At 41.0% G+C, this 23,678-nt stretch overlaps 1 protein-coding gene and 1 long non-coding RNA gene across 4 annotated transcripts in view; one reads left to right on the top strand and one right to left on the bottom strand.

The window, feature by feature from the left end:
- Positions 1-23,678, top strand: part of B3GAT2 (beta-1,3-glucuronyltransferase 2) — a 100,382-nt gene that overhangs the window by 50,571 nt on the left and 26,133 nt on the right. For both annotated transcript variants that reach the window (NM_080742.3, XM_047418209.1), the window contains exon 2: positions 12,218-12,362. In NM_080742.3, the coding sequence (NP_542780.1) occupies positions 12,218-12,362 (145 nt within the window). The remainder of the gene's footprint in view (positions 1-12,217; positions 12,363-23,678) is intronic.
- LOC105377850 (uncharacterized) lies at positions 1,260-20,348 on the bottom strand. Of its 2 annotated transcripts, XR_001744196.2 has the most exons (5): positions 20,306-20,348; positions 18,275-18,338; positions 6,949-7,016; positions 1,768-1,995; positions 1,260-1,344 (listed from the first exon to the last, which is right to left on the bottom strand). It is a non-coding gene; the product is annotated as an uncharacterized LOC105377850 (long non-coding RNA). The 2 variants fall into 2 exon arrangements; XR_942676.3 differs by lacking the exons at positions 18,275-18,338; positions 20,306-20,348 and adding an exon at positions 11,258-11,659.

Below are 23,678 nucleotides of genomic sequence, written 5' to 3'. Positions count from 1 at the left end.
GCACGCCTGCAGTCCCCAGCTAGCTGGGAGGCTGAGGCAGGAGGATTGCTTGAGCCCAGGAGGAGGTCAAGCTTGCAGTGAGCTGTGATCATGCCACTGAACTCCAGTCTGGGTGACAGAGTGAGACTCTGTCTTAAAAAAAAATTGCTATGAGAGAATGCTCTAGGTATGTGTGTGGTCGTGGTAGAGTATAGGGGTGTACGATCACTGTAATGTGCTGGAATAGTACCTAATTTTGAAACTGCATGGTTAATAACATCTTTTAAGAATGTCTAAGTGCTTTAGAGACTTCTTTTCCCCCATTCTCCGTGAGAAGAATAGGAGATAGATCGTTGGTTTTCGTGTGGAAAAATTAAGAAAGAGAAATGAAGCAGTTTAAATTTCCTCACATTATCATGGTATTAAGTAAACTAGAGCAGAGGTCTTTGGGTTAGAACTCATTTGGGAAAATAGATTGAGTGTGGCCAAGGCAACCATTCCTGTAGTGAACTCAGCTCCCTTTTATGTAGTGAAGATAAATAGTTGAACAATCCAATACATGCCCCAGTCCCTCTCTCTCTACACACACTGCACACACACACACATACACACACACACACACACAGTGCCAGGAGACATTCCGGGACCATATTTTTTTAAGAAGAAAAAGTATTATTATGCTTTCAAGTCAGTTATGTTAATTTATTCCTTTTTTGAGATGTAGAGTAGCTCCTTTGTATCTGAGTTTGCCTATTACATGAAAAGACTAGTGGATAATGATACCAGCTATCCTATGTTACAAAAAGCTGCAGATCCCCATGCCAAGTGGACTATACAGCTACACAAACCTTCTGTTACCTGTTGGACACACTGCCACAGAGGCGAGCAACATGCTGTCTGCCATTAAAGAACTCGGGACCCTTGAAACCCATTTTGGGGAATATATGTAGCAAATAATCCAATTTTAAAAGGGGCAAAAACGTAGGTTATCGGAGTACATTAGACATGCTAATCTGCAGCAGTTTTGTGCAAACCTAAGTATAATTTAATTTTGTATTAAGTTTTCCTTTTGATATCCAGATAAAGATTAACATAGTCATTGGCAATTATATTTGTATTTTCAATAAACATCACATTTTACTGAAGTATACAGATCTATGCAAGGGATAGTGAAATAGACAAAGCTCATTTGACTTTTCCAGAAGGAATGCATTTTAACATTGGTGGCTCCTGTGGTTAGGGGGACTTCCAAAGCAGTAACTCTTGCGTTTCCTCAGCAGCATCATCATAATTACACCACTATACACAATAATTATACTCCTAGCTGTGGTTCTATTCTACAGCAGTTGCTGCTTTCCTGGAAACCTTGGGGAAAATAGAAATTTAAATAGCTCATAGATTTGGCTATGATAAGTTCACACAAAGACAAAATTGCATTTGGCAGTTTAGTTTCCCCAACCTTTATTTGTTTCCTGATAACTATATTTAGTCTGAACCTCTTTGTCAAGGACACCACATAGGTTATATTGTCTTCCTCTTTGCATCCAATGAAGCAGCATATATTGCCAGGTCATTTTTTTTTATGGTGATGCCAAACTTGACCACTTGGCCAAGGGAGTGACTGCCATACCTCTTATTGTGAAGGCACATTTTCCTCCTGTAATTAACAAGTAACCCCAGGGGTGATACCTTGAGACAATGAGAATATTTTGTTTTCCAATAACTTTTACCCAAGAATAGCTACACACACCCCCTGTAATTATAGACTTATGGGTCAGTTTTTCTCACCATGTGTTTTAATCCATCGATGTCATTCTTTCTGATATTTAAAATCGTTCACAGATTGGCCAGGAACCCTTCAGACCAGCTTCTGTCTTCATTGAACTTGTCCTTGTTTAGCTTTGAGCACTTCTTGGCGTTTTTGGCCCAAGATATCTTAGGCTTATCTCGTACTTTCAGTACTCTGGACGTGTGTCAGACCTGAAATCAGCCTCTTCTCCAAGGAGACCTGTTTCCCTTTAGTGGAAAATAATATTTACAAACCAAGAGTTGGGTGTTTGTGTTTTACTGCTACTGGGGTGTTAATTTTTCTAGGCTCTTTAATCGTGAGTTCATATTGAAACCACCTAATTATTTTGTTTTTATTTTGAATTACCTTTCTTGAGGTATAGTTTACCTAAACGAAAGTGTACTCATTTGAAGTGCTGAGTTTGCTTCATGTTAGCAAATTCATATACCCTGAACTGTCACCCTGTCACCTATGACCTTTTGCAGTCAGCCCTCTTTCAGCCTCTGACCTGCTTTGTGTCACTGTAGATTAGTGTACCTATTCTAGAATTTCATGTAAGTGGAATAACACTATATGAGGCCTTTTCTCTGGCTACTTTTACTCAGCATTATGTTTTGGAAATTGGTACATGGTATTATGCATACCAATTATTCATTACTGTCTCTTACTGAATAGCAGTCCATTGTATGTATGTTTTGCTTATCTATTTGTTTATCTATTTACAAGTTGATGAACATTTGGACCATTTCCAGCTTATGGATATTATGAGTGAAACTGTTTGAACATTCAGGCACAAGGTTTTGTATGGACATGAGCTTTCATTTCTCTGCAGTAAATACCTAGGAAAGGAATTGCTGTGTCATGTTTTTTAACTTTATAGGAAACTACCAATTTTTTTTCCCAAGTAGTTGTTACCATTTTTTACTACCACCAAGAATGTATATGAGACCTAATTATTCCACATTGTCATCAGCTCTTGGTATTGCCAATCTTTTCATTTTAGCCATTCTGGTGGGTCAGTAGTGGCTTTAATTTCTGTTTTTTAATTTTGTTTAATTTCTGAAATTTTAATTTTATTGTGGTTTTAATTTCCATTTCTGTAATGGGTGATGACACAGAGCATCTTTTTGTGTGATAATTGGTCATTCATATATCTTGATGAAATGTCCATTCATATCTTTCACTGACTTTTTTAATTGGGTTGTCTTTTTTCTTGAGCTATGAAGTTCTATGCATTCTGAATACTAGTGTTTTGTCAGATGTATGTATTAGGATATGTTCTCCCAGTCTACAGATTACTTTAAAAATTTTCCTAATAGTATCTTTTGGAGAGTAGAAAATTTTAATTTTGATGAAGTCCAATTTATAGATTTATTTAAGGTTCCTATTATTTATGTCGTGTTTAAGGAAGTTTTGCCTACCCTAAGACCTCAAAGATTTTCTCCTGTATTTTCTTCTAGAAGTTTGTAAACTTAAAAACTTTAGCTTTTGTGTTTGGGTTCATGGTCCCATTTTAATTTAATTTTTATGAATTTTGTGAGATATAGGTGTTGTTCTTTTTCTTTCTTTTTTAATTTTTTAGTTAATAAAAATGGTATATATTTATATTGTATAACATGATGATTTGATACATGTATACATTGTGGAATACATATTACCTCACATGGTTATCATTTTTTTGTGATAAGAACACTTAAAAATCTGTCTCAGCAATTTTTAACTATATAATATATTAACTATAGTCACCATGATATACAATAGATCTCTTGAACTTATTCCTTCTAAGTAAAAATTTGTCCTTTGACCACCAGCCCCCCTGCCACCCCTCACTCCCTGTCCAACCTCTGATACCACCATTTTACTTTCTGTTTCTATGAGTTTGACTTTTTAAGATTCCATTTATCAGTGAGACCATTGGTATTTGTGTTTCTTAGCCTGGTGAATTTTACTTAGCATAATGTCTTCCCAGTTTTTTTATGTTGTTGCAAATTACAGGATTTCCTTCTTTTCTAAGGCAGAATAGTACCCTATTGTGTTTATGTGTATATATATATATGTGTGTGTGTGTGTGTGTGTGTGTGTGTATATATATATATATATATATCCCATTTTCTTAATCCATTCATCTGTTGATAGGCACTTAGGTTGATTTTGTATCTTGGCTATTGTGAATAGTGCTGCAATAAACATGGGCATTCTCTTTGACATACTGATTTCATATCCTTTGGATATATATGTTCAATAATGGAATTGCTGCATCATTTGGTAGCTCTATTTTTAATATTTTGAAGAGCCTCCATACTGTTCTCTACAATGGCTATGCCAATTTACATTTCTACCAACCATGTACAAGGGTCCCTCTTTCTCCACATCTACTTTTTTTTTTTAGCATGGATGTCCATTCATTCCAGCCCTGATTGCTGAAGAGACTGTCCTTTTCCCCCATTGAACTGCCTTGGCATCTTAGCCAGAAATCGACTGACTATATGTAGGAGGAACTATTTCTAAATTCTCTAGTCTCTTCCATTTATCTATGTATTTATCCTTACACTAATGCCACATTGTCTTGATTTATATAGCTTTATAATAAGCAGAGCCCAGTCAGGCCCCTCCTAGACAGTCCATACCAGAATTCACAAATACATATGACCTAAAGCAAGTAACATAATTAAGTGAAGCTGTTCTTGTATAAGCAGTATTACTTTATTTATATTAAAATCTAACGGGCTAAAATTTCAACGTGGTTCATTTTCATTTATTAATGTTTTGAGTCATGTCCCTTTCTCACATGTCTCATGGTTCTTATTATGGTTTATTTCTAATGATATCTTTATACACATACTTTTCACACTAAATATTTAGGAACATTCCCTGTTTTCATACATAGAACAATACTGCCTCCATACATTTTTGAAATGCGTGGCCCATTTGATCTGTTTTTCAGTTTCCCACTTCAAAGAGAGGAATACAGTATCTCCCATGACAGCATCAGCTGGTTAATGAATGGTGATTGGCATGCAGACTCAGCATTGAGACTGCAGTGGGGAATGATGGGGACACTGTGGCAAACGGGGGAGGGCTGGCACTGCTGAGAGGGGCACAGCCACTCTACGCCACTTTCATAACATCATGTCAAATGTACACAAATTCACCATTATTTATTTTGTTGCTCAAATTATTCCAGCTTTGTCCACTAGGAGCTGTTTCAATTGGCTATGTCCCTTTGACACACACACCAATGTGGGTTTGTTCGGTTTTTTGTCTTATTTGAATGCTTCTTTCCTTTCTGGCTCCTCCAGGCTTATCTTGTGTATTTCCCATCCCAGTCCTAGAATCAGCCATTTCTCTAAGAATCCCTGGTTTCTTTTATAAGAGAATGGCATTAGAAAATGCCACAGAGGTTAAGTGTCATTCCCATCACATCATAGCAAGGGTACATACTATCAACACGATTTATGACTATCGATGTTACCCTTAATCATCTAGCCAAGATGGATGGTGAAATCATTAGGAGGGGGATGCAATAAAGAGGAAGAAAAGCAGACTTTATGTTCATTTTCAAGCTTGTTCCAAAGGAAAGTTATAGGTGTATTTGATCATATAAATATCGTTTTGTTTTGGAAAATCACGTTTAGGGACAATAAAATTGGAAAGAATCCTTGCTTCCAAATCACCTCTGTGTTCAAATCTTCATCATATTTGCACTGCCCTTTCCTTTGTGTTCTTAGTTCATGGGTCCCATTGGATTTGATGGGTTTCGTTTACTTTTTGCTACTGAAATTGTTAGTTTAAAAAAACAGGATACAGAGTGTCACATTTTTTATTGTAACTCCACTTTCTTGAAGTTGCCTATAGCATTTTAAATTTCAGAAGATCGATAACTTTATTCATTTCCCTTTGGAAAAAATAAAACAAGATTTTAACTAGTGGCATGTCTTCAAGGAAGCTAAAGACATTTAACTTTTTCTGTTTTGCTCTAAGGGCATTCTGATGATTGCCTGAATGTGATCTTCTGAGTGTTCCAGTCCCTGGAGCTGGCTGTTAGCCATCTCCCAAGGAGGGTCGAAAAGAACGTAGCAGAAAGCTGCAGAAAGAAAAGCTGGCTAAAGAAACAGGAGCTGCCAGCCAGGGCAACATAGTGAGACCCCAACTCTATAGAAAATTTAAAAAGCTGTCCTGGCATGGCATGCCTGTAATCTTAGCTACTCAGAAGGCTGAGGTGGGAGGATCACTTGATCCCAGGAGTTGGGGGCTGCAGTGAGTACTTCCAGCCTGGGTGACAGAGGAGACCCTGACTCAAAAAAAAAAAAAAGAGCCGGTTGTTGTTAAGGGCCACCAGACTGGAGTGCATGGTAGTCACCTGCCTCCCTCCTTTCCTGGAGAAGATGACAACGTGATGAACAAGCACCACTACCCTGGAATAGTTTAAATGGCATTCAGCCTGGAGGAGTGTGCACATGCACCAAATATATCTTGTGTGTCCTTTGTAGCCATTGGGTCTATGGAGATTACTCTGGCTGTGAGTTTGGTTGATTAACATTGCTATGCAAGCCCTGTCCATTTAGCTGGAGGTTATCACAGGAGGAATAAACCACAGAATATGACTTTGGCATTGAATAAATGGGAAGAGAGTGCTTTTGGGGGCCAGAACTGTTTGTAATATTATAACTCCTATAAATACATGAATTGCTGCCCCTTTATCATAATATCCATTGCTTTAATGCTCTGTTTTAGATTGGAGTTCACACCAGACACCTGAGATTGTGTTTGTTATGTAACTGCTATTTCATGTTGAGAAAGTAGCAAAGCTTTTAAATACTGAGAATATTTTAGTTACATGAAGATACTTTTAGTAGTCACTGTTGTTGTTACATTCCCCCTACCCCTCAGAAAATAACAGGGCTGTTAAGGAATCCTCAAAGAGCATAGATTGAGTGAAAATGACACAGAACAAAGGACAGATCCCAGGAGTGAAATGAAGAAGTTCTGTAAATAGCTGTGCCGTTTTCCTTTGAAATGTCTGGCACACTCTATATAGTATAGTGGTCGAGGATAGAGGGGCTAATTCTGTGATGAAGCATTCTGCATGGAATTTCAGCAGGGCATAGATGGTGAGGGCATCTGGATCTGTTTGAGTTTTTAAACTAATTATATGACAAACTTTTTAAAATGTAGCATACCTGGAAACATCATCCCGCCACGTCATCTGCATTTAAATAATCATTGCCTCACCTTTAACACCCAGCCTCTAGAAAAATAAAGCATGAACAAATGTTAGCTCTGAGCTGCTCTCAGTAATTTGGAGTGTGCTAAGCAAAACCTACATTTTCTAGCATGAAATTGGCACAGGAATGCATGCAAAGTTTTGCTTCTTTGATTCATCTGGTTACCTAGAACCTGAGGCCATTCTGTATTCTGTGGACAAAACCCTATATACCTTTCATGACCCAGCTTAAATGAAAAGTCTAATGCAAAACATGCTGAATTTCTGTGGCCATATTTAATTGTTCTAGTGGTCCCACAGGTATAGTTTATTATTCTTTTTAATTCCCTTTAATGGCAATTTCTCTTTTCCTTTTTTAAAAATGTCTTTTGCCTTCTGTTCATTTATTACCTGTCTCCCTTTTTTATTGTGAGCATGTCTCTTGCACAGCACAGACACATAGTGATTTCTTGTTACATGTGGGCCCACATTTATTTTTTATTTCTATTTGTTTTTCATTCCTATTTATTTATTTATTTATTTATTTATTTATTTTGAGCCAGGGTCTTGCTTCATTGTCCAGGCCAGAGTGCAGTGGTGCAATCACATCTCACTGCAACCTCTACTTCCCGGGCTCAAGCAATCCTCCCGCCTCAGCCTCCCAAGTAGCTGGAACTACAGGCACACACCACCAACCACACCTGGCTAATGGGCCCATATGTAAATGACTAATTAGTATTTAAACACTTGCCAAGAGTTGTTTAATACCTGCTGTGTGCAGGGCACAATCTTATACATTCTTAAGGGAGCACAGAGGTGTCAGATGGGGTCTGCCCACCAGTTTTTCACAGATTTGAATATTTAGCGTTCTGGGCAAAAGCAGTTTAGGAGCTGAAAAATCATGGCCATTTTAAGAAGATTATCTTACCCAAAAACCCACAGTACTATTGTTATTGCCTTATATATAAAGCCATTCTGTTAATTTTTTAAAAGTATGTATTAGGTTTAACCTGGTTTCTCTGTGTTTGCCATGTTTAACATCTAAGGCCAAAAATTTGAAATATTTTTACTTTCTGAGTATGTCAGGAAAGAGGAGTCTGAAGCTGGAGTGAGTTGGGGAGGTGGGGGGGACTATATTTTTATGAAAATTTTAGTAAATTTCCTGGGTTTTTGTCCCACCTATGGGGAAGATCTAGGATACAAAAGCATTAAATGTTAATATTGATTCAAGAATTAAATCATCAAAACATTGCTGGGAGAAATTAAAGACCTAAATAAATGTAGAGAGATCATGTTTATGGGCTAGAAAACTCAATATTGTTAAGATGTCACCAAATTAATATATAGATTCAATGCAATCTCTATCGGAATTTGCTGAAATTGACCAACTGACTCTGAAATTCATGTGGAAATAAAAAGGATCTATAACAGTCAAAACAACCTTGAAAATGAAGGATAAAGTTGGAGGAGTAATACTATCTGATTATAAGACTTATTATAAAGCTATGGTAAATCAGGATATTGTGGCATTGGTATTAAGATCACTGAAGAGACCAATGGACCAGATTAGAGCATCCAGAAATAAACCCATACATATATGCATAGCTGATTTTTGAAAAAGTTGTAATGGCGGCTCAGTTGTTCCAGGACAATTAGATATAGTTGGAACAATTAGTTATCCATATACAAAAAAAGAAAAGAACTTCAATCAGTTCCTCATACCATATATAAAAATTAACTGAAAATGGATCATAGTCTAAATATATTACCTAAAACTATAATACTTGTAGAAAGGAGGAGAAAACCCTTGTAACCTTGAATTAGGCAAATATATATATATATATATATTTTTTTTTTTTTCAAGCAGTTCTCATGCCTCACCCTCCTGAATAGCTGTTGTTACAGGTGTTCCCCACCACACCTGGCTAATTTTTGTATTTTTAGTAGAGACGGGGTTTCACCATGTTGGCCAGGCTGGTCTCGAACTCCTGACCTCAAGTGATCCGCCCACCTCGACCTCCCAAAGTGTGCTGGAATTACAGGCATGAGCCACCGTGCAGAGCCACAAAAATATTTTAAGTAGAACATCAAAAGCATGATCCATAAAATAACAAATAGATGAATTGGACTTCATTAAGATTAAAACTTCTGTTTTTCAAAAGACACTGTTATAAGAATGAAAAGATGAGCCACGGAGTGGGAGAAAATATTTATACATCATATAAAAGATTTGTGTGCAGAATATATAAATAACTCTCAAAAGTCAATAGTAAGAAAACCTTTTTTTTTTTGAATGTGCGAAAGATTTGAACTGACTTTTTGCCAAGGAAGAGATACAGATAGCAGTAAGCATATTAGTCATTAAAATAATGCAAATTAAAACTATAATGGGATACCACTATTAGTAGTATGTATTAGAATTACTGAAATTGAAGATCGACAATACCAAGTGTTGGTGAGGATGTGGAGGAACTAGACGTCTCTTACACTGCTGATGAGAATGTAAAATGGCAGAAGCACTTTGGAAAATAATCTGACAGTTTCTGAAAAAGTTAAATGTATACCTAGTGCATGATCCAGCCATTCCACTTCTATGTATTTATCTTAAAAAAAAGAGAAAGAAATTCGCATAAACTTGTAAACACGTATTTAGTTTGTAGCAGCTTCATCTGTAATAGCCAAAAGCTTGAAACAACCCAAATGTCCCTCAGCAGGTGAATGTGTAAACTGTGGTATGAACTACGCAATAGAATACCATCCAGTAAAATAAAGGAGGGAACTATTAATGTACATTACAAGTAGATGAATCTCTTTATAACTATGCCAAATGAAAGAAGCTATATTTACACATACACACATTCACATACACCCCACATGCTGAATTATTACATTCATACAAAATTCTAGAGGATGCAAACTAATGTATAGTTATAGAAAGGAGATTGGGGTTTCCTGGCGATGGGTGATATAAAAAGGGATTGGAGAAATGGATTAAAAGCACAAGGAAATTTTTGGGGGTGCTGGGTGTGTTAATTATATTCATTGTGGTGATGGCTTCATGGCTATATACATATGTCAAAATGTGTCTAATTTTAGACTTTAAAAAGCGCATTTTATTCTATATTAGTATTTCAGGGATCCCAAGACAACCCTGTTTGGTGGTTTACTAGGACCTGTAGCACTCAGCATATAGTCGTTCTTAGGGCTAAGACTTATTACACTGACGTAGAAGGATACACAGGTGGATCAGTAAGGGGAAATGACATCAGGCAGGGTCCAGAGGAATCCATGTGTGGGTTTTCTGTGTTCCCTCCCTCCCTCTGAGATCACACACAGCATACCACCTCTCCAGTAGTGAAAATGTAGTCACAGGCGTACAATGATTATACCCAGGGAAACCCACTTAAGACTCAAGAGTTCAGGGTTTTTGTTCAGGGCTTGTCACATAGGCACTCTTGCCCACCAATATTTCATATTCCTGAAAGGAAAGCAGTTGTTCAGTGCCCCAGACAGATAAAATAACCTTATAAGGGTAGGAAATGTTTCAAAAGCTGTGTTCCCGGACACTAGCCAAGGGCAAGCCTTGCAAGCAGACCTTTCTAAAGATAAGGCTTTAGATAAAGTCTCAGGCTTGTTAACACTTTTCTGCAGTCACTTATACCTCAGCTTGTTAAAAAAAAAAAAAGTTGTAAAAGTTAGTGTGAGTTAGCACAAGACAGTTGCAGTTCATTTATTGAAAAAATGATAAGAGATTATAAAAAATAGTAACTTTAGATTTGAGGCAGACCAATGCAGTGAGAACCTCATTACCTGGAATGCTTCATACCCTTAAATCCCCTCTTTGGAATTAGCCAGGAGTGTTGGTGGGTGGCTGTAATCGAGCTACTCAGGAGGCTGAGGCAGGAGAATTACTTGAACCCGGGAGGCAGAGATTGCAGTGAGCCAAGATCACACCACTGCACTCCAGCCTGGGCAACAGAGTGAGACTCTGACTCCAAAAAAAAAAAAAAAAAAAAAAAAAAATCCCCTTTTTGGAACAAGGTAGGATAATAATAAGTAAAACCAGGAAGCTTGGCTAATGGGAGCTTCTAATTATTTTTACTCTTTAATATTGTGACTTTCATTTCTATTGTATTTGAAAATCTTTCCAAGGTATATCATTTTTTTCCTTTCATAAAAAATTCCTTGGTTGATGTTCATTATTTAACCACTGGTTAACTGATTATGACCCAGTTCAGTTCTATAGCAAATAAAAGATAAAGCACTGCTGTTGAAATTATAATTACCTCAACAACAAGACCACCTCATGCAGTTGTGCAGGTTATACCTCGTCCAAGGCACACCCAGCTGTGAGGGTGCGTGGAGCTTAAGTCCAGCTTGTACTTTGCCAAGCTATGGGCTCCAGCATGGGGTGTGTCTGCCCGAGAAAGGGGCACCTTTTTCTAGTTTATGCTAAGATGCCTTTTGAGCTGTTCAGCATGAGCCCTGGAAAAAGGTGGTGGTAGCGATTTTCTCCTACAGTGCTGCCTAATATCAGCAAGCTTTCTTGTGGGCATCTCTTTCCCCTTAAAGAAATCCAGCTAGTAACTTTCAGTTGAGCGTCATGTTTAACCAGGATTCCACTGTGTGTAACAAGGACAAGCGATTCCAACGGTCTCTAGTTTGGCCCAATTGCCCTTAAAAGGCAGGCAAATGTTTAGGGTATGTGTTTCTTTTTATCACTCTGGAAGAAGCCAGGTTCAGGTCTGTATCTGGATCCCATTATTAATGTCCCCAGCCAAGAATTCTGTGTATGTATAGCAATAGAAAAGTCAGAGAAAGGACGCTCCTGTGACTTCTCTGAAGTTTTTGTTCTTCCTGAGTAATGAAGTTTCCTAAAGGGGAATTAAACTTTCTCACCTCGGAAGATAGAAGTATTGTTTAAAGATTCAACTTTGAAACAAATAGGAAAATATCTGATAGTTGCAACTTAGCTTCAAATCAGCGATGTCCAGATATTGACAACCATTTTATTTCTCCTAAACCTTGAGCCCTAGCCCAATTTATGACCGAGTAGAGATCATGGCACAGCAGCCAGCCTAACAGATGGGGGCCATACTCTAGCAGCAGAAGGATTCTGTTTTGAAACCTTCAGCTTTTGAAATCTTACACCACTACCAGCCCTACTTCTTCTACATAGATCACATTCATTTCCTCCCTCTTTTTCCTAAGGAAACTTAAAACACATGTCTTTTCCCTTTTTATAGATGCGAACCACCCGCAAGGTCTCCGTCTGGCCTGTGGGCCTGGTTGGTGGGCGGCGCTACGAACGTCCGCTGGTGGAAAACGGCAAAGTTGTTGGCTGGTACACCGGCTGGAGAGCAGACAGGCCTTTTGCCATCGACATGGCAGGTGAGCAGTGTGGGTGATGACATTTGTTCCTGCTGGACTGTTCTTATGCTCTTGTTTATAACGATGCACTAGATGAAGGAAGCTTTAAAAGACAAATTTGGATAAAACCCTACATCATATCATATTCAGGAGATGAAATATTTAAACCTTCAAAATAGGCTCTTTGGTTAGATCAAGTGGAAATTGATTTGGAGGGTGATTAGAAAATGCCCTTTCTGTTCCATTTTGTCCCCTGTCTGTGCCTTTATCCCACAAGCGTCTACATGGCAGCTACTGGGTTGGCCACTGGGGATTCGGTGGTGAGAGCTAGACCTGGCTCCTGCCTTCCAGGGGTCTGTTAGCTGGAACCTTTTGACTCCCTTTTCTAGAAGACTGATATATTAAAATATATCATGTTTATTGATAAATTTAACAATGATATAAAAATTGACAAGTCATTTTAATGCTTATTGATAGGTTTAGTGCTTTATTGATATATTTAATACTAAAATATAAACTTAGATTTCTGGTATTTCAAGAATTTATTGAGTATAACTGTCTTAAAGTTTTTATTCCCTGAACAACCAACTGAATTGAATTAGCCCTGCAGTAGGACCACACGTTCTAAAATGCTACTTTATCATAAAACAACTCATTTTCTATGGGTTATAGAAAATGATGCCTGTGATAACTGTGGAAGGATGGAGTTTGAAACATGAGGCTCAGAGGCAAAAAAAAAAAAAATTCGGTGACATCTATACTCTTAAAAATGAAGGCAGAAAGGCTTCAAAATTGATCTCATCAATCTTGAGCTCTGAAGCACAGCTCTGTCGGGCTGCCAGCCTGTGCTTGCCCCATCTTCTGTGCATATTTCCCAGCCGTAGTCAAGATCTCCGCGTTCAGAATTCTGATGGGATGGAGGCTGTCTTCTGAACTGGATTCATCACTTTTATTCTGACAATACTATAAATCTGAGGGAGCCAGAGGACGAAGAATACCAGGAGTCATCTGAGGGGCACAGCGCTCATGGACAGCTGTGTGGTGGGTCTTGTCACATGGCATCGTGGGAGAGGACAAATAGGAGATTTTTACTCAACATTTAACACACATCTCCACAGCACCAGCCCTCAGCCAGGCCATGTCTCAGGCCCCTGACCTCTCCATCCCTCTGTTACTCCAGCTGTTTGCTTTGGTCTTCAGTTCTTGCAGCTCCAGAACTGAGCTGGCATCTCAGTCTAGGTCTCCACCTGGAGGCAGAAGGAGAGGCAGCTGAGCCATCTTGGACGGTCCTGAGGACCCTCGAAAGAGGCCTGCCCTCGACCCGCTCAGAGTGCATGGCCCTGAAAACATGGGGCATAGTGTATCTTTTGAAAATCGGGCTTCTTGCTGACCAGAAGTGTACCTTAGAGCAGAAAATTTAGACAACATTAGGGAAAGTCCTTCTGCTTCTCTGGGATGTAGTTTTCTTGTGTAAAGTGAGGCAGCTGCCGGAGATGACCACCAGGGCCCTCCAGTGCAGCCCTCCTTTCCTGGCCTCCCACCTTGGAACTCTCAAGTAAGAGCCCAAGCTTGGGCTTCTAAGTGAGGATTGTGACTGCTCAAGCAGCCGCAGACAGACTTTTGCTTCAGATTTTCCCAGAGCCTTGTTTCAACACGGACTTCCCAGACATATCTCCTTAACACGTGGGATGTCTGCCCATTTCCTTGCATGGATCATGCAAGGTGAGGGCAACTTGGGTAACTCTTCCTGGATTTTAATCTAGGAACTTTATGTAGATGATCAGGTATCAAATAGACTTGTTGAATATTTGCATTGGTTCCCCTAGAATTTGGGTCACATTGATATTTCTAAAATTAAAGATGTATGTGTTTGTGCATTAGGGCTGGCCTATCTAGGACTGCCAAATTCTGTGGGAATTCTTTTTTCCATGACAAGACCAATGTTTGGATTTTTCTAAGCATTTCAGTATATTTTCAAAGCATATTAAAAACACCCATCATAATAAGATATGAATTATTTCCTTGCTCTGTATTCATTATCATGGTTTTAAAATAGGAATAAAGTGTCTCTAAGGAGACAACTTTTGTCACACTAAATAATTTTTTTCACTTCACACATGAACTTGCTTTGCATCTTAGCTTTCAGTAAATTATTGATATTTTTGGAAGTCTTTAAGTGTAAGTAATTTGGTCGATAGGATAGTTATTCTGTTTTTGAGGCAGTTTGTTCTAATTCTAACTTAAAAATTTGTGGCTTTGTTTAGATTCCACATACAATTCATTTATTCTCTGGGAAGAGGGAAAAGACCTTTTAGGCCTTCATGTTCAATTGGTGCTTCCCACCTCATTTCCAAGTTACATGTACACACACACACACACACACACACACACACACACACAATCTGAGCTCTGAGGAGCTCTACTTTGAAAATGCTCTGTGATAGTCAAGTGAGAGCACCATATTGGAGCCTGGGTCTGTCTTGCATTTGCAAAGCGGATTAAGAGCCCAAATGGAACATTTGTGGGTTTGAGCACATTCAGTAGAAGCCCCTCAGAGCCTGTCCTGTTTGTATCTCTGTGAGGTCATCACATAGCCCATCACTGGAAACTCATTTGAGTATCAAACATTGAAACTGCGATGTTTCATGTCATTCTAGTAGTTCTTACACTGTCATTTTATTGCCATGTTGAACTTGCCTGATACTGAAATTTTGCTCTCAGGTGACATGAAACATTGTTCTTGAAATAATCTTATGTTTACAACCATAATGGCAGAATTAAGATTATTTCTGTTCCATTGGAGGATATTTTTTAAAATAATGATTACTACTTAAAAAAATTAATATGCCTGCCCACAAGATGGAAAGAAAACACTGGAGGCAGCCCCACTGGTGGTGTGCAGTTGGCTTCAAAGCTGACCAGTAGCCATATAGCTCTGCCAAGCCAGTGAGGCCCTGGGGGGTTTCTACTGTTCTGTGCCTCAGAATTCAATTCTTACACCTCAGGAATCTGAGGATTGGCTAAAAGTGAGGAAGTCCACCAAAGGTTTTAGCTCTGTTTTGAAGGGAGGCAGTTAATTTCAAGTGACAGACTCACTTCAGCCACTTCCAGGGAGGTGTCAGTAAGAACGACTGCTTGAAAGAACTGAGCTTAAATCAATCTTCACCCTCACCAGGAGGTGTAGATTTGTTCAAGTTGAGAACTTAAAACAGATATTTATTAGGAATTTTCAACATTGGCATGTGCCTTATTATTAATTCTAGGATGTGGCCCGTGGGACACGGTGCTCCATTAATGACAGTATATGCAGTTCCCAGTTGAGTTGCTGGCACACAGTAGGTACTTTATTCTGCTAAAAACACAACTAGGTGTACTGCAATTAGATTCTGACACCACCTGGAGTTGGTGCAGACCCCACAGGTTAGAGGGCACAGTCTCCAACAAGACTGCCCTTATTTCACATGCCCCCCACGCGCTGGAGAGTCCCAGGCCACCTGCACTTCTGATCAACTGACTACACTGGATGTTTCCCACAATCTCCTCAGGTTTGCTAATTTGCTAGAATGACTCACAGAACTCAGGAGAGTGCTGTAATTATACAAATTATCATTGTAATCAGTGTTATAAAGAATACAAGTCAGGACCAGCCAAATGAAGTGACACACAGGCCAGCAGAGCCAGGTGGAAGGAGCAGGCTGGGAGCATACAGGTCTTCTGTGCCTTTTCCTCATACAGGTGAAGTCTAGGAAAGCTTAGTTTTCTGGTCTGGAGTCCTGTGGACCAGGGTGTGTCGAAGCCCTGGGGATGGATGTGCTCCCACAGGGAGACTCTGTGGCAGCCTCGGATTGCATCCTGGGGGCAGGCATTTAAAGTGACTGCAGGGGGGGAGCCAGGGAAAGAGACAAGGCCCAGCAAGAGGGTGTTAGGGTGGACAGTGGCGAGGTCACTGGAGAGAAGGGGTGGATGAATGATGAATTCCGTTATTGGATGTGGGAAGAGGAGGACCCTTGGTGAGTATGGGAGAAAGACCGCTGGAAGCAGAATGGTCTGAGCAAAGTTAGGTTTCTGGACGGGCATGGTAGCTAACACCTATAATCTCGGCACTTTGGGAGGCTGAGGCAGGTGAATCACCTGAGGTCAGGAGTTCAAGACCAGCCTGGCCAACATGGTGAAACCCCGTCTCTACTACAAATACAAAAATTAGCTGGGCGTGGTGGCAAATGCCTATAATCCCAGCTACTCAGGAGGCTGAGACATGAGAATCACTTGAACCAGGAGGTGGAGGTTGCAGTGAGCCGAGATTGCACCTCTGCACTCCAGCCTGGGAGACACAGGGAGACTGTTTCAAAAAAAAAAAAAAAATTAGGTTTCTAATGGAGCAGAGGGGGAGAGATTTGATCTGGGAAAGGCTTGGGGAGGTTCTGTCTTGGCTGGACAGGGATTTGAAAGGATGTTGTGATGATGAGTGGCCAGGAGGTATGGGTTAGGAAGAGGAAGGGTGCAATGGCCACTGAGGTCCCCTCCAACTCGAGGGTTGTGTGATTTTGACAAGTTCTGATTCTAAGGACTGAGGTTGTGTAAGGCGGTGCACCTGGTTATACTTGTCTTCTGTCGGCAGCCAACTCCTCCTCGCCTACGGCCTATCACCAGCTTTCCAGCTGGTGGTAGTTTCTATTCAATGGAGGCTTAAAAGCCCTGACTTTTGTGGCGAGTGGGTGGACAGTGGGGGTGGGGAGCATGACTAGGAGGCAGGAGGGCCAGGAGACAACTCTTAAGAAATGCGGCAGCAAATGAGTAGGAAAGACAGATGGTGGCAGTTTCAAGGGGTATAACAGCTTTTTCCTCTTTCTTTAATGATGGAGGGGGAGAAATTGAAGTTTTAAGAAGTGATAAGTGTTGAAAGTCCCAAAGGAGAGGAAATGAGGGGAGATCAAGACCTTAGATGGACAGGTTCACCTAGATAGAGTCACCTCTGACTCCCAGAAAAAAGGTGAGATAAGTAAGGAAGCCAAGGGCTGGGAAGGTGGAGGGGCCAGTTGTTGGAATTGACCGTCCGCCAAATGTTAATAGAGGGAGAAGTGACATTTGGCTGAATTCCACACACACTGAATGTAGCAGCCCCTCGCCTCAAGGAGTTTTGTATCTAGCAGAGAGAGAATGTCTACAAGAGCATGGCAGATACATCGTGGGGTCGAAAATGAGTACAAGTGGAATGATTGGGGGTTACATTTAAAGAGAAAACCACAGCCACTGGGGGAGTTTCGGGAAAGGTCTTGGGAAGAGGTGACATCTGAGAGGCACCTTCCGTGCTAGGCCCAGGCCAGGGTAGGGAGGGATCATGGGCAGGGTGTGTTTTTGGAACAAGTTATCCCAGGGTATGTGTAGCTCTTGGGAAGGGCAAGCTGGGGTCAGATAGTGAGGACTGAGTGCTAAGATGAGAAGTTTTTCTTCATTTCTGTGGACATTGGAGAGTCTGACATTTTTCAAGTAGGGGACTGATGTGATTAGAAATACAGTTTGAGAACCACATGTTGGCAGTGTGGGATGAATGGGGGAGGAGGGCTGGGCCTGGAGGCTCAGGCAGCCATCTGGGTAATGAGCCCGTAGCGGGCTGGGAGGTGAGAGGAGGTCTTAAATACCACAGCTATTGGGGACTTATAAAATTTTAACAGCCTTTTCAGATTATACTCTAAATCAGCAGACACTTAGATCTTTTTAACACCTTTTTCTGTTGTATGGTATGGTGATAAATGATGTATTAAATTTAAGTTTGGTTAATTTTAATTGGTGTAATTTGTATTATCCTTTGAGTCGTAATTTATGTGTAGAAAATACAGTGATGTTGGGTAATTAAAACATTCTTTTAACCAGAACACCTATTTTGTGTAAAATAGGAGTCTGCATATTAGGAAAAAAAAAAAAAATCACATCACCTGACTGAAGTTTTCAAGCTCAGGATTCACTGTGGGTGTGTTGTCCCAGTGGAGGGTGTCGAGGCTGAAAGTGAGGAAGACAGTGATCACGCCTGGCTGGGCCTCCTGTATCCATACCTGCCCTCTCCCGTGTCCACTCCACCTCGAAGCAGGAGGAATCTTTCAGGAATGCAAACCAGATTCTTGGCAGTCCCTTGCTCATAGCTCTTCAGGGGCTACTCATGCTCTTGGAATAAACAATTCCTTGTCACTGGCACCTGCCAGGCCCTGCCCGGCCCACCCCTGCCCACCTTACTATTCTTGTTCCCCTCTACTCAATCTTTGCGGGCAGAGATCACTTCCTCCAGCACATTCTACCCTTCCCTTTGGGGCCTGCACTGATGCCCCTGCCTGGAAATGCTCCTTCCTCGTTCAGCCCTACTCATCCTTCAAATCTCAGCTTAAAGGCTGCCTTCTTGGGGAAGGTTTTGCTGATGCTTCAATTAAGATAGCTCCTCCCGTGTTATAATGTGCTGTTCTCTCAGCCTCCCATACCTCTGCACCTTGTCACAGTGGTTGTACATCTCTCATTATAATTGTTGAGGCTCCGCCACCCCGACTCCCAGAATGCATCCTTCCTGTAGGCAGAAGCCGGACTATCCTGCCCTCCACTCCTTGCCCAATCCCAGCCCCAGGTTTCCCCTAGCCCCAGCCTGTGAGTGGGGCTGAGTGACGGCACTATCCCAGAGCAGCTGTCCCCGCTACAAGTTTACCAGGCAAACCTTTAAAAAATTATTATAAATGATGACCATGAAACTGGAGGGGGTCGAGGGATCACTCTGGGCAGGTTGCTGAAGGCTGCTTTCTGTGGGCTCTCTGCAGGGACGTGGGAATGACAGTTATTCTGGGTCTCCTTCATCTCAATGTTTGTCAACAAGGAATTTTGCCTGGGTTAATTTATTTGGCAGACCTTTTCTCAGTAGATAATGCTGTGATCAGCTTCAGCCCAGCCCGGATCAGATGATCATCAAAGCCAAATGAGCAGTCAAAATTAATGACGTTTTGCTTTGCTTCATGAATATAAATACTGCAAGAAAATGGAGGGAATTGTCTTCCTGCCACTTTGGAGTCATTCGTGATTTAAGTGTGCTGTTTTCCATGCATGAATGTTTTCTATGAGAACTATAAAGTTACTGAATCTTCTCAGTAGAGTGACTTGATGTGTCATGTGGTACCTTTTAGTGCAGGATCTAGGGACCAGCTTGGGACTTTGTCCTTGGGTTGGTACAGTGTGATTGTCACCGGGAGAGGACTGCAGCTGCCAGGGGGTGGTAATTCTGTCCCAACAACTTATAGAACCACAGGGACAGGTGGCAGAGTGTTGGGGCAATAGGCAGCCTGCCACTCAGTTTTTAATCTATTTCTAGAACATGGTGCAGTCTAGAGACTTGCAGGGATTTGATGCCCACAGTACTGTGTCTGGTCCTGTCTGCATGTGCTGTGGCCAGGGCTGTGCTGGGTAGAGGTGGGCGTGTGGGGCAAGGAGCACATGTGCATCTGTGTGCTCATACTCAGGGTGCTTGCTCTGGAGCAGCTGGTAGTGGGGTCAGGTGGGGTGGACGTGGAGAGGGAGGGCTCTGCAGAGGCCTTTCAGGGCTGAAGGGGAAGTGGGGAGACGGGTTTCCAGGCCTCTGTCCACCTCAATTCTAGCAGCTCTGCATTTACATATTGGAGATCCCCTCAAGATTTCAATGGAATAAAACATTCATTCCAGGACTAAAAATTTTGAAAACCTGAAGTTTTCCTTTCTATCAGGATGTCCAGCAGACTCAATAATTATATATTGTTTGCTTAGCATTTACCAAGCATCAGGCATTTGGAAGCATTCTGTGTTCTTTCTTCATGAATCCTCACTTAGCTGTGCAAGGGATATGCTAGTTTTATTATCCCCACTTACATATAAGGAGCCCGAGGCCTAGGTATGCTAAGTGAGTTGTCTGGGATTCAGAGTCAGGTCAGTGTGTCTACAGAGATGGTCTCCAACTCACCCACCTACAGCCAAGTCACTGAGTTCTTGGTCTCTGAGCCTGCAGAACAGTTTCTTGGTTTCTTCATCTGCAGAACAGGGAAAATGAAATTTTTCACAAAATCAGACATCACGTGCAAAGCAGCCAGGAGTAGAACATTGTAGACACTTGGTGAATGTCACTCTTAACCAAGAAACAAGACTGTGCCTTTGGGTTCAGCTGGCTCACACATTTATTTTGATGAATTAGGTCAGTGTTTTGTTTGATTATCACAGTGGTGAGGTCCATGCAGGTAGCTGTAGGGTGGAAGAATCACTCATCCTTGGGTCCTGCTCTGACACATACAGGCTGTGCAGCCTGAAGATCTAGGGGAATATCTGTTTCTTCCTAATACCTGTAGATTAGGGATCATTGCTTCTTCCTAATACCTGTAGATTAGGGATCATTGCACCAGCTTTCTGGGTTGTGTTGAGGTTGAAGTAAAACGAATACATACAGAAGTTCCTGCTGTTCTGTGAATATTTGAATCTGCACCCACTTGTAGCTTTGTGAGATCACTCTTAACGGTAGTATTTAAGAACATTTGAACTCCGCTGTGGGCTCATGATGAACTTCATTTCTCTTCTGGCGGGTGGACCTGTGCTCATTATCATTCAATGAATTGGCTCAGCATGCAGGATGGCATGCTGAGATAAACGCTAGCCCTTACTTTAGATTAAATACCCCCAAAAGAGAGTGATCAACAGGAGAAAATCGAAGCCAAAAAAGATCATTAAAGAGTTGTTTAGGAGCAGATACGTGTTCATTGTTAAAATTTCCCAGCTGAAAATCTAAACAAACAGCACTTGAGCTTTCAGAAGAAAATGCCATTTGTAACATTGAGATTTGCAAGGCATTTGGTGCCATGTGAGTGCCGCTTGCCCCTGTAGGTGAGTCTATGTAGACCACGAGACAAGTATTCAATATGCAAATTCCTGATGGCACATAGGGAAGGATTTAAAAGAATGATTCTCATGCTTTCTAATCAAGTCACAAGGGGGCAAATGTCCTTTTTCACCACCTCGACTTTCCTAAGAGTCCCTAGGAGAGCATCTGTAGGTAATAGTTTTCATCTAGAATCTGTTAAATAGGTATTATTTATTTTACTCATGTAAATAGTTAGGATTAAGGGTTGTTGCCCTGCACTGCTAACGTGGGGGCCGGGGTGCAGACCACTTCTCTCTTTGGCATGCAGGTTGTTTGCTGTGACTACTACACATTTTTCTGCACTGGCTTCAGAAGTTAAGCCTTGCAGGCATTCTTCCTGGGCTCCCTGAGCAGCTGTAATCACCCTGACCCCAAACACTCTGCACATCAGTTCACCTCAATTTTAAATCCCTCAGGCCAACCGCTGTGGTCAGTCGGCATTGCCCTAAGCTGATGGGCCTGATTAAACCAAGAGTGGCACACACTGCCCTCCAGCCTAGGATATGCAATGTCACTTTTCTTCTCACGTTTGCCTAGCTAATTTCCAGTTACTCTTCCAGACTCATTGATGAGGCAGGAATCGCTTTTTCTGGGAAGTTTTTCCTGATTTTCCATCACACGTGGATGCCCCTTTCTACCTTTTCCCCTAGAATCCTTGGCTTATGCAGTTATGAATATTTCCACAAGGTGGCGCTCATGTCAGTGTCCTCCCTGCCCCTGGCCGCCTTGCTAGCCCGGGAGTACACTAGGAGGGCGCTCGGGTCTGCCTGCATCTCCAGGCCGGGCACAGTCTCTGATGGTAATAGCTTGAACAAATGTTTGCTGAATTCATGAATTTTAACATGTTTTCCTTTTCTAGTGTAAGGATTATCAAAATTAAGATTTAAAGCTTCTCGCTTCTGAGACAACATTGCCATTATTTAATGGTGGAGGTGTAAAGGGGGATGCCGAGCTGTATACTCCAGAGCTCTCTGAGGAGGGTCTAATTCAGCGGGTCTCCCCATGGCTTCGCATCAAAATGGCAAGGGGCTTTGAAAAAACACCCACACTTGAGCTCCACCTAGGAGCAAAGAGACCATATAGTCTCTGAGGGTGAGGCCTGGTATTTGTGTGGTTGCGGGTTTTTTTTGTTTTTTTTTTTTTTTTTTGAGTCTTGAGGTGATCCCGAAGTGCACCCAGGAGTAAGAGAGGCGGGCGAAAGTGATCAGAAGCGACTCCTATTTCCTTCCTGTGGCTCGTTATCGTCTCTCAGTGGTCACAGTCCTTTCCCAGGCCACCCCCTGTGTCCATCTCAGGTGGGATAACCTCATGACAGAGTTTGGGAACGCTCAATAGAGTCACTTCCATAGAAAATACGTCTTCCATTGCTCAAGCAAGAAGAGAATTTGAGCATAGGACAGGAATATTTTAATCATAATAACTGAAAAACACCAGCAACAATATAAACAAAAAGATTGCCTGTATTCATTGGGAATGCAAGTTTTATCTGTGTTTTGATTGTGGTGAAATATACGTAACATAAAATTTACCATTTTAACCATTTTGAAGTGGACAGTTCAGTGGTATTCAATTCATTCACATTGTTGTGCAACCATAACCACTGTCCAACTCCACACCTTTTCCATCACTGAACCAAAATTCTATGCTCACTAAACAATAACTCCTGACTTGCCCCTCCCCTCAGCCCCTGGTTACCACAATTCTACTTTCTGTCTCGATTAATTAGACTATTCTAGGTACCTCATATAAGTGGAATCATATTTGTCCCTTTTTTTTTTTTTTTGCTTATTGAGCATAATATCTTTAAGGTTCATTCATATTATATTATGTATCAGAATTTCATTCCTTTTTAAGGCTACTAATATTCCATTGTTACGTATAGTCCACATTTCGTTTATCCATGCATACAGCCATGGACGTTTGGGTTGTTTCCACCTTTTGGCTACTGTGAATAATGTTGCTATAAACATTGGTGCACAGATATCTGTTCGAGTCCCTGCTTTAGATTCTTTTGGATGTCCAAAGTAGAACTGTTGGATCACAGGTAATTTTTTGTTTGAATTTTTTGAAGAATCACCATACTATTTTCTACAGCAGCTGCATCATTTTACACTCTCCACAGCAATGCAGGAAGGTTCCAGATTCTCCATATCCTCACTAATACTTATTTGCTTCTGTTTTGTTGTATTAGTTTTTTTAATAATAGCCACCTAATGGGGATGAAGTGGTATCTCATTCTGGTTTTGATTTGCACTTCATGTGCTTCGTGGCCATTTGTACTTCCTTCTTAGAGAAATGTCTATTCAAGTCCTTTATACATTTCTATAAAATGTTTATGTATTTATTTGACTTCACCAACAGAAATGGATTTTCTCACAGTTCTGGAGGCTGGAGGTCCAAGGTCAGGGTGTCAGCATGTGAGTTCCCTTGAG

This window comes from Homo sapiens, chromosome 6 (genome assembly GCF_000001405.40).
Source record: "Homo sapiens chromosome 6, GRCh38.p14 Primary Assembly".
NCBI lineage: Eukaryota > Metazoa > Chordata > Mammalia > Primates > Hominidae > Homo > Homo sapiens.
Note: the sequence above shows the minus strand (reverse complement) of the source record. Positions and strands in the feature narration are given on the sequence as shown.